The sequence below is a fragment of the Homo sapiens genome, chromosome 4 (assembly GCF_000001405.40).
Source record: "Homo sapiens chromosome 4, GRCh38.p14 Primary Assembly".
Taxonomy (NCBI): Eukaryota; Metazoa; Chordata; class Mammalia; order Primates; family Hominidae; genus Homo; species Homo sapiens.
In genome coordinates, this window is record NC_000004.12 from 71426772 (window position 1) to 71443422 (window position 16651).

Sequence of the window (16651 nt, forward strand, 5' to 3'; positions counted from 1 at the left end):
TTACCATTGGAGGGTAAAGGCAGGAAGATACCAACTCAGACATAGCTTGGGTGTGGTGTGTACATTCCTATAACTTCTAATCTTTATAAAAATCTTTATGAGTTACAGCTGTAAAATATGGTTGTAGTTTTTCACTGTCCTTTATTACCCTTAAGTATTCCCCACCAAGGGAGTGCTACATATATGCCATATTTGCAGTGAAATAAGAATTTATTAAGAAATACATTGTAGTATGTTTTATTAAAGTAAAACACACATATGGGTATGCATAGATAGATGCAAAAATCATGTTTACTTGATGATTTTTCACAATGTGAACACACCTATATAATTGTCACTCAAATTATGAAACAGAACATGAGCAGTGTTATATATTTGTTTTTAAATTCATTAATCTCTAGTTTTTATTTTCTTCTTTTGCTTTCTTTGAATTTAATTTGCTGTTTTCTTATTTGTTAAGATAATATATTTAGATCATTAGACTTTAGCTTTTCTTTTTTTGTAACATTGACAGTTAAGGCATGAATGTTACTGAATGCATGTTTGCAGCTTCATTCCACAAGTTTTGATATGTCATGTGTTCATATTATGAGTAATATTGACTTTAACAAGTCAATGATATAATATTTTTATCTCTAGGACAAGTATTTTGTTTTTTAAATGGATTCCATTTAAATTCCCATCTTGAAATCAATATTTAAAAAATATGATGTTATTTCAAAGTCTGTGTCTGATAACCATAGTATATAATTCTCCTTTAAGGTTATTTCTAATTTCTGTTTTTACCCCCTCTTGGGATTCCAGTCATTTGATCTTGTCTTCTGTTATGTCTAACAACTTCTGATTAAATGTCAGATATAAAATATCCATAGTAGAGATAATTTTATACTCTAGATGATATTATCTTCCTTCAGAGATTGTATTTGCTTTTGGCTGGCATTTGGGTTAGGGGCAGGTCACCTTAATATTCAGCCTGGAATTAAGCTGATTGGAAGCTGAATATAGTTCACCAAGTGCATAGGCTTACAACCATCCACACAGAATCTGAATCTTGGGATTCACAGTCTCAGAGATACCCGCCATGATAGAGAAATATAGTTGGGCCTATGAAACAGACTCCGAGTAAACTTATCTAACCAGCCACATAGATGAAGATGTCAAGTCTGTTTTTTTCTATTTAATTGTCTTACTGTAAGAGAAAGAAGTCAGCTTGCTTCCTGTCTTCATGACACTTTAATTTTCCCATTAGAAAGAAAGTCCCCTTGAATTTATCAAACTCTAATTCATCAAATTGGCCACATTCCCTGAGGTGCAGAGAAGAGGAATAAATAGGCAGAGGCCGGAACCTGGTAAGGTGAGAGAACACTTCTTTCTACCTTAAGAGTTAATATTGTTGTTTGCATATGGTAAATGAATAAATTCATAGTCAGAGAGCATAAATAACCTACTAAGATGCTGTTAGACCTGGGCTCTCCCTTACACTTTTGAGTTTCTTGGATCTTAAGATTCTACAGTATGTAATTATTTTCTAACACTATTATTTTCAGCACTGCCTAAAAGCCAGTCTCAGTGAGATTTAAAGGCAGGGTGGCCATAATAATTTTCCTTTTAAACCAAGACATTTTTGAGAATGAAAAGAGGTACTATTAGTCATTACGCCAGGACAATAGGGTAAACTGGGACTGTTATGGGCCAACTGGTAGGTATGGTGATCTTACTTTACTACTGATACAGATACCTTCTGCAATGGAAGGTCGTGGAATTGGGTGACGTTGAATGATTCTGAGCTTACCACATGAGTTTGTTTGAAAAATAAGAGCTGAAAATACCCGAAGACAATGGAAGGGTGGGGGACAGGAGAAAATTAGCAGGACGAAGAGAAAATAAACCAAGAAGAAGAAATGAAGAGAGGAAAGAACAATAAGAATGCCAGAAATCAGATATTTGCCCAGGAAAACAGGTGAATGTTAGCATGTGGACATGAGGCAGGGTAAATAGAAAACAGGTACAGATTTGAAGATTAAAATCATCATGGAGGGGAAAAAATAATGTATAGAATGAGATAGCAATGGGTATAAGCTTTGCAAAAAGAACGAGAAAGTATACTCAAGTTTAGATGATGTTATAATATCATTTATAGCAAGGACATTGAAGAGCCTACAGGATAACATTCTAGTAAATTAGATTTAAAGGACAAATTGTGAGTATTCCTGGTTATAAATAACACTTTATTATTGATGCAATTATTTTAACACATGCAGAAACATGGCAGAGAAAAGGAGGTAGTGTTTAAATATCTGCCCAGTGACTGAGGAATACTATAATATCCTGGATCTACAGGTGATGCTGCAGGTCTGAGAGCAATGGTAAGGAAGCTAGGAGGACGTAATATTAATGATATGATTATCCCACCCATATAGATAACCTAAAATATGTGAACTGCTTTCATAGAAGGCAGAAGAATCCAAGACCTGAGTGGAGTGTGAAAGATTGAACTTTAAAAATAGCTATGTGTGATGCATATTACTTGTGTATGAATAACTTTTCCATCATCACATAGAACTGTCATCTCAGGTTAAGCGACCTCTTATGCTAATACTGTGATAGCTGGGTTGTTGTTGGAAAACCACTCAGAAAATAAGAAAGGTTAAAAAAAATTGTAAGATAAAACATTTATAGCAGAAGGCAAAATATATACTTCTGAGTAACTATAGCATCACTATACTCTGGAAGAAAGAATACAGGCTAGTGTAAAAGGAACCTGGAATGTAACATCTGGATTCACAGAGCTGATGTTAATAGCCTGGTAAAGACAAAAGATCACAAAATCAGTGAACTAGTCAAAGTATTTTTGAATAATTGTAGTACCACAAGGCAGCCATTTAAAATTCACTCCTCTGAAGCCTAGGTTGGCTAAAGGAATTTTTGTTTTTCACTCTGTGTGTTCTTGTAGTTGACCCTGCATAAAATCCAGGCTGGTTATTTTTTGAAGAAACAACTTACAATCTATAAGAAAGGAATGTTCAACTTCACCATAGGAATTCAGTCCAAATGCATTTATTGAGCGATATCAACCTGATATGAAAGCCGTATATTCTATTCTTGTTTTATCTTTTATTGTTCTTTATATTTTCTGGTCCTATTTACCTCTTTGTTTAATCTTTACATTTTTTCTAGTACTTTATTATTGTTCACAGTTTATTGTGTAAGCCTAGAATTGGTTTTCATGCTTTAGCCATTACTTTTCCTTTATGAGATGTTATTGTACTTGGAAAAGATAATGTGTGAATCAGTGTTTGATGAGCCAAAATTATGGGAGAGATTTTTAAACTTTGACTTAGAGAAGAACCTTTTTTGAACTCTGTTACTAGGTGTGATTGGTGTGTCTTGTGACCTCCCATTGGACAGTGTACTTTTTATATGGTATTTATGTTTCTTTTTTCATTGCAGCATTACAGGGTGTCTGTTTTCTACAGTGCCTTCTTATTACTAAGCTTTGAACATTGTAGGCACCCATAAAGTCTGAGGACATTTAAGTACATTTGAGAGTAGGATTAGATGGAAGATGAGAAAATTTCCATCCAAAGCAGAATTTTCTAATCTGATTCTGTATCATAATGTGCTTTATTTATTTCCCAGTGGGATATAAAGCATTCCTAGGTATACTAAAGTTTCCAAAAAAAAATCTGTAGTACAGACAGTTGTTTAATTTCATTTAACCTGCTGTTCCTCACATTTATCTGACAAATACACTTTTGTATCTGGGCTCTGCAGTAGACAGAAATGCACCTCAAATTAATTGAAGCCCAAAAGGGGATTTAGTGGCTTATGAAACTGGGAAGAATTCTTGGTGAGTTCACAGAACAGACAAGCTGCAGGATGTCACTGACTGAGACTGGGGACTCAACAGTCTTTCTCTTCATCCATTTTCCTCTTTTGATTCTGCTGGTTTCATTTTGGGTGCTGACCTCACCCTTTCCTGGTGTGGACAGTCCTGTGCCCTTTCAACACGACGGGGAACAACCTCAGCTGAAAGGGAACATGTTGATTTCTACACTTCTAAATATTGATTTTTCCAAAAGGTTTCATCCCTGTGATTGGCCTCCATGCTGTAGACCAACCACTCTTGTCAGGGGAGGAGTTTACTAAGATTGGCTATATCTAGGTCTTTTGTCCACATATGTGGCCTGGATAGGATGTGTAGAACCCACTTCTTTAAGAAGAGAGTTAGGAAGGCTTGTTGGGAAGAGCAGAAATAATAACCATCACTCATCATTCAACAAATATTTATTGAACGTTTTTCCTCAGCCCCTCAGGCACTTTTCTAGACATTAGGGACCTAACACTGAACAAAATAAATGAATATTCCTTCTTCCAGGGAGCTTACATTGCAGTGTAATAAAAAGGCAACATTCTAATAAAAATGAATAAAAATGATAAGGAAAACAGTATGTTTGACTACAATAAGTACAAGGCAGATAAAATAAAGCAGAAGAGTAAGAAGTATCTGTGGGGAGAAGGGAGTTAAAATTTTAGTGTGTCCAGGGAAAGCCTCTCTGATGAGAAGGTCACTTAATTAAATATTGGAAGGAAGTGAAGGAGGGAGCCCTGCATATATCCCATTCAGAGGACACAGCAGATGTGAAGGACCTGGGGCAAGTGTGCCTGGTGTGTCTGAAGGAGGACATAGAGAGTAGAATGTGGGCATGGAGAAGACCATGGAGGACATGGAGGGTAGAGTGTGGGCAGTAGGTTCCAGATTTAACCTTTAAAATCCGAATTTTTGTGGGCATTTTATGGTCTTCTGGTCTGATTTCTAGTGCTACAGAGTCCATTCCTTCATAATATTTATTACAGCTGAATTATGTGCAGAGCTGCTGTTCAGGCACCACACATTTTTATTTTAGAATAGCTATTGGTTTCTCTTAGCTATTGCCTTAAAATATATACTTCTAATTTTTTAGTGTGGGTATAGTGATTGTAGTACTGGTAAAATGATTTATGGAAGAATATAATCTACTGTGAGATAATCTGCATGTGTTGTGAATCAGGTAGTTGCTGTGACAAATCCAGTCAGTAGGTTCCAGATTGAACCTTAAAATCCTCACTTCTTTTGGGCATTTTATGGTCTTTTGGTCTGATTTTAGTGCTACAGAGTCCATTCCTTCATAATATTTATTACAGCTGAATGATATGCAAAGCAAATGTTTGATACAGTGGAGAATGAACTGATCTTACCTTGTGAAACTTGGGGAAAAGACACTTTGGCAAAAATGTGATTCAGAAATGAGCACTTATGAAGTTCCCAAGGAATTGGGCTGAGATAGTAGGAAGTCTTGTGCTGAGCTCTAAAGGCTGTTTATAAAAAGCAGACGTGAGGAAAAGGCAATTTTTGATAAGAAGTGTAGGAGTGTAAGTATATAAAACAGAAGAGGATTATGGTCAGGTCACCTGCCTAACTCGAGCAAGGAGTCTGCTAGAGAAAATGGGAAGTAAAATCAGATTATTAGAAAGCTTTGTGTTCTGTGTTAATAACGGGAACTCTCTCTGGAGAGAGTTTGAGGAAGATTATTCTAGAAATGTTGTGTCACTTTGGGCCACTTGGCCATATTCCACACTCTGCTCTGTGTTATAGGGGACAATTTATAATTGCAACTTCCTTAGGTAATAATAACAGTCTTGGCAACTTGATGTTTTTTTAGGCCCTTCCCATGGATATTCTTTTCATATCTGTAAGATGTAAATTTTTTTAAAAATATTAGTATTTCTTGAAGGATTAATGGGAGAAACTTTGGAAAATTCCCTACTGCTTAGAAGTGATTTTGTTTGTAGCATGTAAGATATATATACCTTCTCTTTGCTTTTTTTTCTTTTTCCTTTCTTGGTTTCCACTAAATTCTTAGCCCTAAGTTCCTTGCTTTTTTGTCTCAGCTTTCTTCTTATATGAAGTATCAAATTTAAAAAAATCTTTAAAAAGCCTACAGAGGGTGATGGAGCTTAGGGATTAGTTCTCATGCCACTTATTTTCCCTAATTAAGAACTCTGAAATGGAAGTTGAAAATGTTGGTATAACCTTTTTATTAATGGGGAAATGGGGTCATGCCTGCCACTTCCATCTCCACAACAATCCATTGTATAAAATGTTAAGTTCACTGGTACTTTTGATTTGAGGGGAGAGACATTTATATTGGATAAGTATATATCAGAAGTCTGTGTCTTTTGAATGGTCTTCCGAAATTCTTATCTCCATTCTTCTATAATTGTTGAATTATTTTCCTTAAGCTGTACTGCAGAATAACACCTATAAGATAAGCTTTCAAAGTGACTGTGTTAAGCAGCCTTCATTCTCCAAGAAAACCACTTTGTGCCTTCTTTTCTCAAAACCTCACACAACTTCCTCCCCCTCACCATTAGCTTACTAGTATTTCACTGCAAAAATAAGTCCTCAGAAACCTGCATCATAATCCCGCCAAATCTCCCAATCACCCCCATTAGTCTCATCTAGTCTGCCTTCCCTAGTTAGTATTGATAAACTCTGTGTGTTCCCATCTAAAGCTAACTTTTCTGCCTGTGATTTGGATATTGTCTCTTTTCAGTAGTTTAAAGATACTTAAACTGCTTCTGCATTTATCCCCTATCTCTCCTGCAGCATTAACCTGTCTCTACTAGATCATTCTCACATTCCAAAATTGCTGTAATATCTGCCATAAAAAAAAGAAATCTGTAAATTTGTTTAAGTTTCTTGTAGATTCTGGATATTAGCCCTGTGTCAGATGGATAGATTGCAAAAATTTTCTCCCATTCTGTAGGTTGTCTGTTCACTCTGATGATAGTTTCTTTTGCTGTGCAGAAGCTCTTTAGTTTAATTAGATCCCGTTTGTCAATTTTGGCTTTTGTTGCTATTGCTTTTGGTGTTTTAGTCATGAAGTCTTTAGCTGGGAGGCAGGAGGAACTTCTCTAAGACTCAGGAATTCTACTTTTAGTTATACATATTAAACAATCTCAAATATTGAGGTCATAAGGAAAATATTATAAGGTGTTCATTCCAACACTGCAGAGATATTTATAACTGCCAAATAGTAGGATGTATAAGTTGTGGTATATTTATACAGTGAAGTAGTATGCAGCCCTTAAAATGAATATAGTAGAGCTACTTTCATCAGTGTGGATTTCTCTCAAAAGCATAATGTTGAATTAGAAAAGCAAGGTAAAGTATGATGCATTGAGTATGATACTATTTATAAAGAGCTTGAATGCCTGAGAAACAATACTATATCATGTGTATGCCCATACACATGTATAATACATTTTACATGATAATTATAAACACTGGTTTTAGAACCCTAGGGAAAAAGTGAAGGAAATGGAGTTGGGATGTACTCAACTGTTGGTGTGGGATGTTTTTTCTTTAAAAATGAAGATTGAAACAAACATGACGTAAGGGTAAGATCTGATAAAGTTGAGTGGTTGATACACAGGAATTTGTTATTACATACTCTATTTTACAGCTACTTTTGAAATTTTTCTCAGGTAAAAAGTATAAAACTAACATAATACAACAATTTTTAAAATAAAATGATTGCTACCAAAAAACAACAAAAAAAACCCTTCAGACTGGTAGCTTTAAACAACTTTAAAGCTTGAGCTCCTTCTAAATTTCCCAAAGTCTTTCAGCACTCTCTTTCAACTGGGCCTCCTCTTCAGAAGTCACCTTTATCTTTATAAGATCTGTAGTACTATTCTGTCCTAGGATACAAGGAATGCTAAGGAATGTTACTTCATTTATCCCATAAAAGCTCTCAATTATGATGGAAACTGGATGCACCCTCTTAAGATTATTCAAAGAGGAAGTCAAATTGTCTCTGTTTGCAGATGACACAATTGTATATTTAGAAAACTCCATCATCTCAGGCCCAAATCTCCTCAAGCTGATAAGCAAATTGAGCAAAGTCTCAGGATACAAAATCAATGTGCAAAAATCACAAGCATTCCTATACACCAATAATAGACAAATAGAGAGCCAAATCATGAGTGAAATTTCATTCACAATTGCTACAAAGAGAATAAAATACCCAGGAATACATCTTAAAAGGGATGTGAAGGACCTCTTCAAGGAGAACTACAAACCACTGCTCAACGAAATAAGAGGACACAAACAAATGGAAAAACATTCCATGCTCATGAATAGGAATAATCAATATTGTGAAAATTTGGCCATACTGCCCAAAGTAATTTATAGATTCAATGCTATTCCCATCAAACTACCACTGAATTTCTTCACAGAATTGTAAAAAACTACTTTGAAGTTCACATGGAACCGCATATCCAAGACAATCCTAAGCAAAAAGAACAAAGCTGGAGGCATCACACTACCTGACTTCAAACTATACTACAAGGCTACAGTAACCAAAACAGCATGGTACTGGTACCAAAACAGATATATAGAACAATGAAACAGAACAGAGGCCTCAGAAATAACATCACACATCTACAACCATCTGATCTTTGACAAACCAGACAAAAACAAGCAATGGGGAAAGGATTTCCTATTTAATAAATGGTGTTGGGAAAACTGGGTAGCCATATGCAGAAAACTGAAACTGGATCCCTTCCTTACACCTTATACAAAAATTAAATCAAGATGGATTAGAGACTTAAATGTAAGACCTAAAACCATAAAATCCATAAAAGAAAACCTAGGCATTACCATTCAGTACATAGGCATAGGCAAAGACTTCATGACTAAAACACCAAAAGCAATGGCAACAAAAGCCAAAATTGACAAATGGGATCTAATTAAACAGAAGAGCTTCTGCACAGCAAAATAAACTGTCATCAGAGTGAACAGGCAACCTACAGAATGAGAGAAAAGTTTTGCAATCTATCCATCTGACAAAGGACTAATATCCAGAATCTACAAAGAACTTAAACAAATTTACAAGAAAAAAACAAACAACCCCATCAAAAAGTGGGCAAAGGATATGAGCAGACACTTTTCAAAAGAAGACATTTATGCGGCCAACAAACGTGAAAAAAAGCTCATCATCACTGGTCATTAAAGAAATGCAAATCAAAACCACAATGAGATTCCATCTCATGCCAGTTAGAATGGCGATCATTAAAAAGTCAGGAAACAACAGGTGCTGGAGAGGATGTGGAGAAATAAGAATGCTTTTACACTGTTGGTGAGAGCATAAATTAGTTCAACCATTGTGGAAGATAGTGTGGTGATCCCTCAAGGATCTTGAACTAGAAATACCATTTGACCCAGCAATCCCATTATTGGGTATATACCCAAAAGATTATAAATCATTCTGCTATAAAGACACATGCACACGTATGTTTATTGTGGCACTGTTCACAATAGCAAAGACTGGGAACCAATCCAAATGCCTATAAATGATAGACTGGATAAAGAAAATGTGGCATATATACACCATGGAATACTATGCAGCCATAAAAAAGGATGAGTTCATGTCCTTTGTAGGGACATGGATGAAGCTGGAAACCATCATTCTCAGCAAACTAACAGAAGAACAGAAAACCAAGCACTGCATGTTCTCACTCGTAAGTGGGAGTTGAACAATGAGAACACATGGACACAGGGAGGGGAACATCACACACTGGGGCCTGTCAGGGGGTCAGGGGTCATGGGAGGGATAATATTAGGAGAAATGCCTAATGTAGATGACAGGTTGATGGGTACAGCAAACCACCACAGCACGTGTATACATATGTAACAAACCTGCACATTCTGCACATGTACCCCAGAACTTAAAGTATAAAAAATACTTTTGCACTAACCTAATAGTAAAACATGACTAGATTAATCAGCTCATACAATGTGAATTATTGACCAGTATGAAACAGAGACCAAAGTCAGTGCTGGCTACTACTTAGGAGATGCAAAGATAATTCCTCTGATGGATTTCTAGATTCATTTAATTGCTTAATGACTTAGAGATAATTAATTCTCAACAAATATTCATTTGAAATAAATTCTGACAAGTTGTCCATAATCCTTCCAGAATTCAGTAATAAATCAAATGCACCTTTTTTTTTTCTCCTTGTAACTTCCCATTGACAGTGTCATGTCATTAAAACCCAGGCTATGTGTGGCTGCTCTTTCCCACTGCAGTGAAAGACATTTCAATGGGAAATGAGTTTGCCTATTAAAAAATGTTTACTGTTGTTTTCTATTAAAAAAAAAGATTCTTCAAAATACTTTCTGTTAAATCAGCTACAGATAGGCCAATGGTCCAATTAGTACAACCTTTCATTTTAACTATCTCATAGCCACAGGCAATCACTTCTTTGTGGACTTTTTCCCACTGTTCAGGATCTTTATCAGTTCCTATATCTGAGTTCAGATCCGTCAGAGGGATGCCAGCAATATTGACTCCACTCCACACAGGAATACTTGAGTCCCTATGCTGTCCAAGAATCCACCTATGACAGCTTTCAGAGTGGATATCAAGCCTTTGCCCAGTGAAGAAACGGAAATGGGGAGTGTCCAGATTACAGCCACTTCCAATAACACGGTTTTGGGGAAATACACTCAATTTCCAGAATACATAAGTTACAATATCCAGTAAATTAGAAACTACTATCAGTTTGTGGTGGGGATTGCATCGGGTAATACTGGAAATAATTAATTTAAAAATGATCACATTTCACTGGACTATATCAAGGTGTGTTTCTCCTTTTGCTGGAACACCTGCTGTAATAATGACTAAGTTGGACTTTGCAGTGACACTGTAGTCTTTGCTGAAAACAATGCTTGGCATTTTTATGGAAGGGCTGCCATGTTGAAGATCCGTTGTCTCACCCTTCAATTTGCCTTCGTCAACATCCACAAAGGCAAGTTTATCACCCAAACCTTTTAATAAGATGCTGAGAGCACAGGCCATGCCAACTGATCCAGTTCCTATAATGGAGATCTTATTGGGATGAGCGGCCCCCTCCAAAGTGAAATTCTTGGCAAGTTCAAGCTTGACAGTCACCATCTTGGAAATGGGAGTGAAGGTCCAGCCGCCCCTGAGTGGGATGTGTGTGGCCTCGTGGGGGCACTGAGCCAGCCCCCAACAAAGGAAATGAGCTCCTGCAGCACCTATTCTCTTGCTGGTGGGCAGAACTCCTGCAGCTCAGCTCATGGTCGTTAGCTCACGCAAGAGGCAAATGGATGAAAGCAGCGGCAGAAATCTCCTTGAGGTGTGGAAGAAACCCTGACGGTTTGAAGGCCTCCTCGCCCTTTGCTACTGTGGCTGCGCAAGGCCACTCCCAGCTCGTGCAGGGCTCACAGAGACCTGGCCCCTTAATATGTTATTTTTAGTTTTACAAATATGTGGTATTTTTTACACCATTAAGACGGTTCCGAAAAAATGGACTGTGATCATTAAGGCCAAAAGTAATTTTAGCTTTGCCTTTCAAAGTGCCATATTTTGTTGCTTAGAGAAGCGCTGCACCTTTGCAATTATTTTTGTCATGGTGCTCAAACACGCTGAAACTAAGTACGATAGATGCAAAGACAAAGAGATGAGAATTCCAATCTCCACTCCACACTTGGACTTTGAAGAAGTTTGACTATGTGAGCTTCTTTTAAAAAGTCAATATTACAATGTGATAATAAGACTTGTCCTAACTACTTTACAAGGTTCCTGTGAGAAAGTCAGGGTGAAAAGTCTAGGGAGCTTTAAAAAGAGTATTGTAACTATTTGACAAACTATGTCACTGAGTCAGTGACAAAACCAAGTCTTCTGATTTTTCCTTCTTCATGAAAATGATGCATTAAAAATTAAAGAAATAAAAGCTTAGAAGTCCTCAATTATCTGCTTTTTTGAAGATAAGATAGTCATGGATAAATGCAATCATTCGATAACTAGTAATGTTTAGATAATCTCAAATCCTTCTACCAGAACTTTAATAACATTTATTCAAAATCAAATATCTGCCTCTTTCCCCAATCACCATCTCCTTTATAATTAAAAAGTGAGGACTATGAAAAACAAGAAGGCTTAACCCATGAATTAAAATGATATTTCTCTAATATACTGAAATTTTGCCTTATGAATGGTTAAACTACATTTTCTTTAAGTTGGCAAGTCTTAATATGTGTTTACCTATTTATATTATCCCAAATAAGAAATTTGATGGAATCTTTTCACTTCTCAACCAGTTGTTTAATATTTGGTATCAGGATGCATTCTATTTGTAAATATAATAGTTCTATCTCAGAAAAAAAAAAAAGAAAGAAATCTATTTTATTCTCTCCTCCCCTAGCTTCCCCATTTCTCAGCTTTTTTTGATAGCAACATTTCTCAAAACAATTATCTTTACTCTCTGGTGTCCACTGTAACAGCTCTTGTCAAGATCCCCAGCCAGACACAGTGGCTCACGCCTGTAATCCCAGCACTTTGGGAGGCTGAGGCGGGTGGATCCCGAGGTCAGGAGTTCGAGACCAGCCTGGCCAATATGGTGAAACTCTCTCTCTACTAAAAGACGAAAAAATTACCCAGGCATGGTGATGTGCACCTGTAGTCCCAGCTACTCAGGAGGCTGAGGCAGAAGAATCACTTGAACCCGGGAGGCAAAGGTTGCAGTGAGCCGAGATCGCGCCACTGCACCACTGCACTTCAACCTGGGCAACAGAGCAAGACTCTGTCTCAAAAAAAAAAAAAAAAAAAAAAAAAAAAAAAAAAAAGAAAAGAAAATCCCCAGCACCTCCATCTTGCCAAATTTATTCGTCCATTCTTAGCTCCCATCTTACCTGAACCTTCAGCAGCCTGTGATTTAACTGATTCACTCTCCTTATTGAGCTGTTTCTTCACCTGGCTACTGGTGAAGTCTTGGTTTTCCTCCCCTTTTTCAGTGTTCTCTGCCTATATCTTCTCCTATTCCTATACAAATTAGGGTGACCCAGGACTTAACTCTTACCCCTCTGCTCTATCTACACTCACAGCCAGGATTGTGCCATCCTTTCTTATGGTACCAAATACTGTTTACATGGTGATGTCTCTCAAATTTACGTCTTCCCTCTCCGTCTTTCTGCTTGGGCTTTTGGTAGGTAATTCCTGCCTAAAACTTCCAAAACTCCTTATTGTAGCCTATTGGGTCCTACAATCTGGTTCACCCCTTACCTATGCAACTTCTTTGCCTGCTGTTTTCTCTCCTTTGTTCCTTCAGCTTCCACCACATTTGGATTCTTTCTTATCTTGTAACTGCCAAGCAGCTTCTTCTCACAAAGTCTTTGCATTTCCCATTCTTTTGGCCTAGAATGTTCTTTCCTCCAATTTTTGCATAGCTTGTATCTTTACTCCAGTGTCAAATGTATTTCTTCAGAGGCCTTCCCCTATCACCCTGTCTAAGATAGTACCTTTTTTACTTGTTTTATTTTTTTTTCTTAGTACTTATCAGCACTTTATATTTTATTTTTCCTCTGTGGTAATATGAGTCTAAAGAGGGCATGTAATTAATCTATCCACCCCTGTTTCCCTAAGGCTTATAGTATTGCCTGGCTTATAGTAGATTTTCAACAACTTTTCGTTGAGTGAATGAATATATAAATGAATGGAGTTGTATGATACATTATTGTTTTATATGTAAACCATGTGATTAATCCCTCAATATTTTTGAATTCAAGGTACAGATAAATGTTTACTATAATATAATGTTTAAACATAATGTAAAAGTGGCTAGCTAGAACATGTTGCATGTCAATTTGTAAAAAGGAATTTCCTGTGAGTGATACATGGGAAGGCCCTTTTTGTTCCCTTCTCTGGAACTAATAGTAATTCCACAGGAACCTTGTGGAACTAAATTGTGTTTCCTTGGTTCTTCTCATGCAGCTGAAGAATAAGTTCATGAAAAAATTGCCACGTGATGCAGAAGCTTCCAACGTGCTTGTTGGGGAGGTTGACTTTTTGGATACTCCTTTCATTGCCTTTGTTAGGCTACAGCAGGCTGTCATGCTGGGTGCCCTGACTGAAGTTCCTGTGCCCACAAGGTAAGCTGCTCTCCTACCTGGGGTCTACAATGTGCTAATAGGGTTATCTCCTCCCATTCAGGCTGGAGAATCAATAGAATGAGGAAATATTTAGTGCAAACACATTGGAGAGGTTTAACTTGAAATAATGACTGTTTGACTTTTATACTGTCAAATTTCTTGGCACTTATATAGTAATAATAATAGCAATTATAATAGTTTATTGGGCAGTGTACTAGGTTCTTCTTTTGGATTATTCTACTTAATCCTTACAATAATATTTTAAGGGACAAACTATAGTTATCTGGTTTTACAGATGAAAAAAGGTCTAAGAGTTTAAGTAATTTGTCCAAGGTCATACAGTTAGTAAATGGTTCAGAGGTCATAGTTGCTTTCATTTACTCTGTTTTATCAGAAAATTGGTAGTAGGTTTATACACACATATATATATTAAAATCATCAAGCTGTATACTTAAGTTTGCATACTTCACTATTAAATGTTGTGTCACAAATTTTTGTTTTAAAGTGAAGTATATTAATGTTATTATAATCACGTACTCATTTCACTGCATAGTACCTGAGAAGTCATCCTCTTCATCCGCCTCTGAAACTGAGCTCCACAGAGTTAGGAAGCTTGACCTGGGAGTGCAATTAGTTGACTAGAAGTTAATGTTTCACTTAAATTTGTGCTGCAGACAGTTTAAAGAAAACTTGTAGTCTTCAGGTTGACAGAAAATTAAAATATGAATAGGACTTTTTTTTGGGATGGGGGGTGGGGGAGTTGTTTTCTGTGGGTTCCAGGGCAAGGACAGGTTCCTTTAGGTTTCCTCATGTGAGCAGGAAGGGCTATGAATCCTCCTCAGTGATAGATGGATCCTCCTCAGCTCAGACGGTCTGAGCATGATTAACCAACAGTGTAAAGAGGCTCAAGATTTCTTTAGAGCCTGGTTAGGAGGAAAATTAAGAGAAAATTTCCTTTAGGCTTCTTAATTCATAGATTGCAGGCTATTCTTCCTCATCATACAGGTATTTTTTAAACCCATTTTTATATTTCTTAGACACTTAAAATAGGAATGATACATAGGGCTGTTATTGGACAAATAGCAGTGGAAAAGAGATGATCATAGCTTATTCACTTAATAGGATTATGATGATTTGTGTTTTCTGTAACGTAGCTTTTTGCTTGAAAACATTCCAGCAGAGCCTTGTGGTTCTATCTGTGCAGTCACCTGGCGAACAGCTGACTCAGATAATGGCTGGAGTCCAGCTCTGTGCCCCTATGGCTTTATTTATGTCTCTCTAGACTAACTTTACTAGGGGTTGAAAGAAAAAAACATGCCCAGAAGTGTTAAAGAAAATTGCTCTTGGCTTTTCATTTTTATTACCATTTTTCTTTAGAAGGTACAAATAAAAAATGCTTTAAAAGACTTTTATTTAACAAAATACGCATTCATTGAGAGCAAATCATGACCATTTTTTGTGTCCTGCTTATCATTTCTTTCTGTCTGGCTCACTAACTTTTTTCTTTTATAATGGATGGTAGGGCTAGTGTAGAGGTAAAATACAGCATCACTTAAATTAGCAAAAGGAGCCAGGCAATTCAAGGCAACGTAATTCAATAATATTATATAACTATTTCAGGGCAATAATCTGAACGATATATCCTTGCATGTTAACATTTTTCCAGGAAATAGCTTCATCCATTTGCTGTCCTCTGAACTAGTACAAGCCTTAATCACTGAGTAGGGAGTCTCATTAGCTTTTTGTGTGTAGGTAATGTGGGGTCATTTACAGTGGCTGCATCCTGTGAAATCCAATAAAGGAAATCCCACAAGGAATGTGGTAGGCATGGTGAAGGACTGCATGTACATTTCATGATATGTTTTAATGTGCATGCTACTCTATCGTACTGAAAGGAAACCTGAAAAATCTGTGTTTGTGTGTATCTTTTTATGGTCATTTTTCTTTTTAAAGGTGGAGGAAAGTTATGCTGCCATTATTATGATTATTTCTGTTTCTAATAAACAGTATTACTACCATGCACCTTCTAGGAAATATGGCTCTAGCAGCTCCCATTTCTTGTGCGGAGTTCACCAATTTCATTATTTACTCTCTTACTTGCTTGATCTGTTTTAGCCTCCACTTACAGCTGGATGACTATCAACCGGGTGAATGTCTATCTATGTAGGGGCCCCTCTTGCCATTCATGTGAAAGGAAACAAACCCTATTCTTTGATCTTTGGTTACTGGATAGGATATGTTTATGATTTTCCTAGTATCTTACAGGCACTTTGCTTGCTGTCATCTTATGTCTATCCACAGAGGCCACTACTCTCTCTCTCTCTCTCTCTCTCTCTCTCTCTCTATATATATATATATATATATATATATATATATATAAATTTTTTGAAGGGGGGTGATAGAGTCTTGCTGTGTCACCCAGGCTGGAGTGCAGTGGCGTGATCTTGGCTCACTGCAACCCCCGCCTCCCTGGTTCAGGCAATTCTCCTGCCTCAACCTCCTGAGCAGCTGGGATAACAGGCACCTGCCACCACACCCAGCTAATTCTTGTATTTTTGTAGAGACGGGGTTTCACCATGTTGGCCAGGCTGGTCTCAAACTCCTGACCTCAAGTAATCCACCCGCCTCGGCCTCCCAAAGTGCTGGGAT

The 16651-nt window shown here is 37.0% G+C and overlaps 1 protein-coding gene and 1 pseudogene across 13 annotated transcripts in view; one reads left to right on the forward strand and one right to left on the reverse strand.

The window, feature by feature from the left end:
* Positions 1–16651, forward strand: part of SLC4A4 (solute carrier family 4 member 4) — a 509424-nt gene that overhangs the window by 364112 nt on the left and 128661 nt on the right. For all 13 annotated transcript variants that reach the window (XM_024454268.2, NM_001440628.1, NM_001134742.2 and 10 more), the window contains one exon: positions 13845–14002. In XM_024454268.2, the coding sequence (XP_024310036.1) occupies positions 13845–14002 (158 nt within the window). The remainder of the gene's footprint in view (positions 1–13844; positions 14003–16651) is intronic.
* LDHAL6EP (lactate dehydrogenase A like 6E, pseudogene) lies at positions 10209–11211 on the reverse strand (annotated as a pseudogene).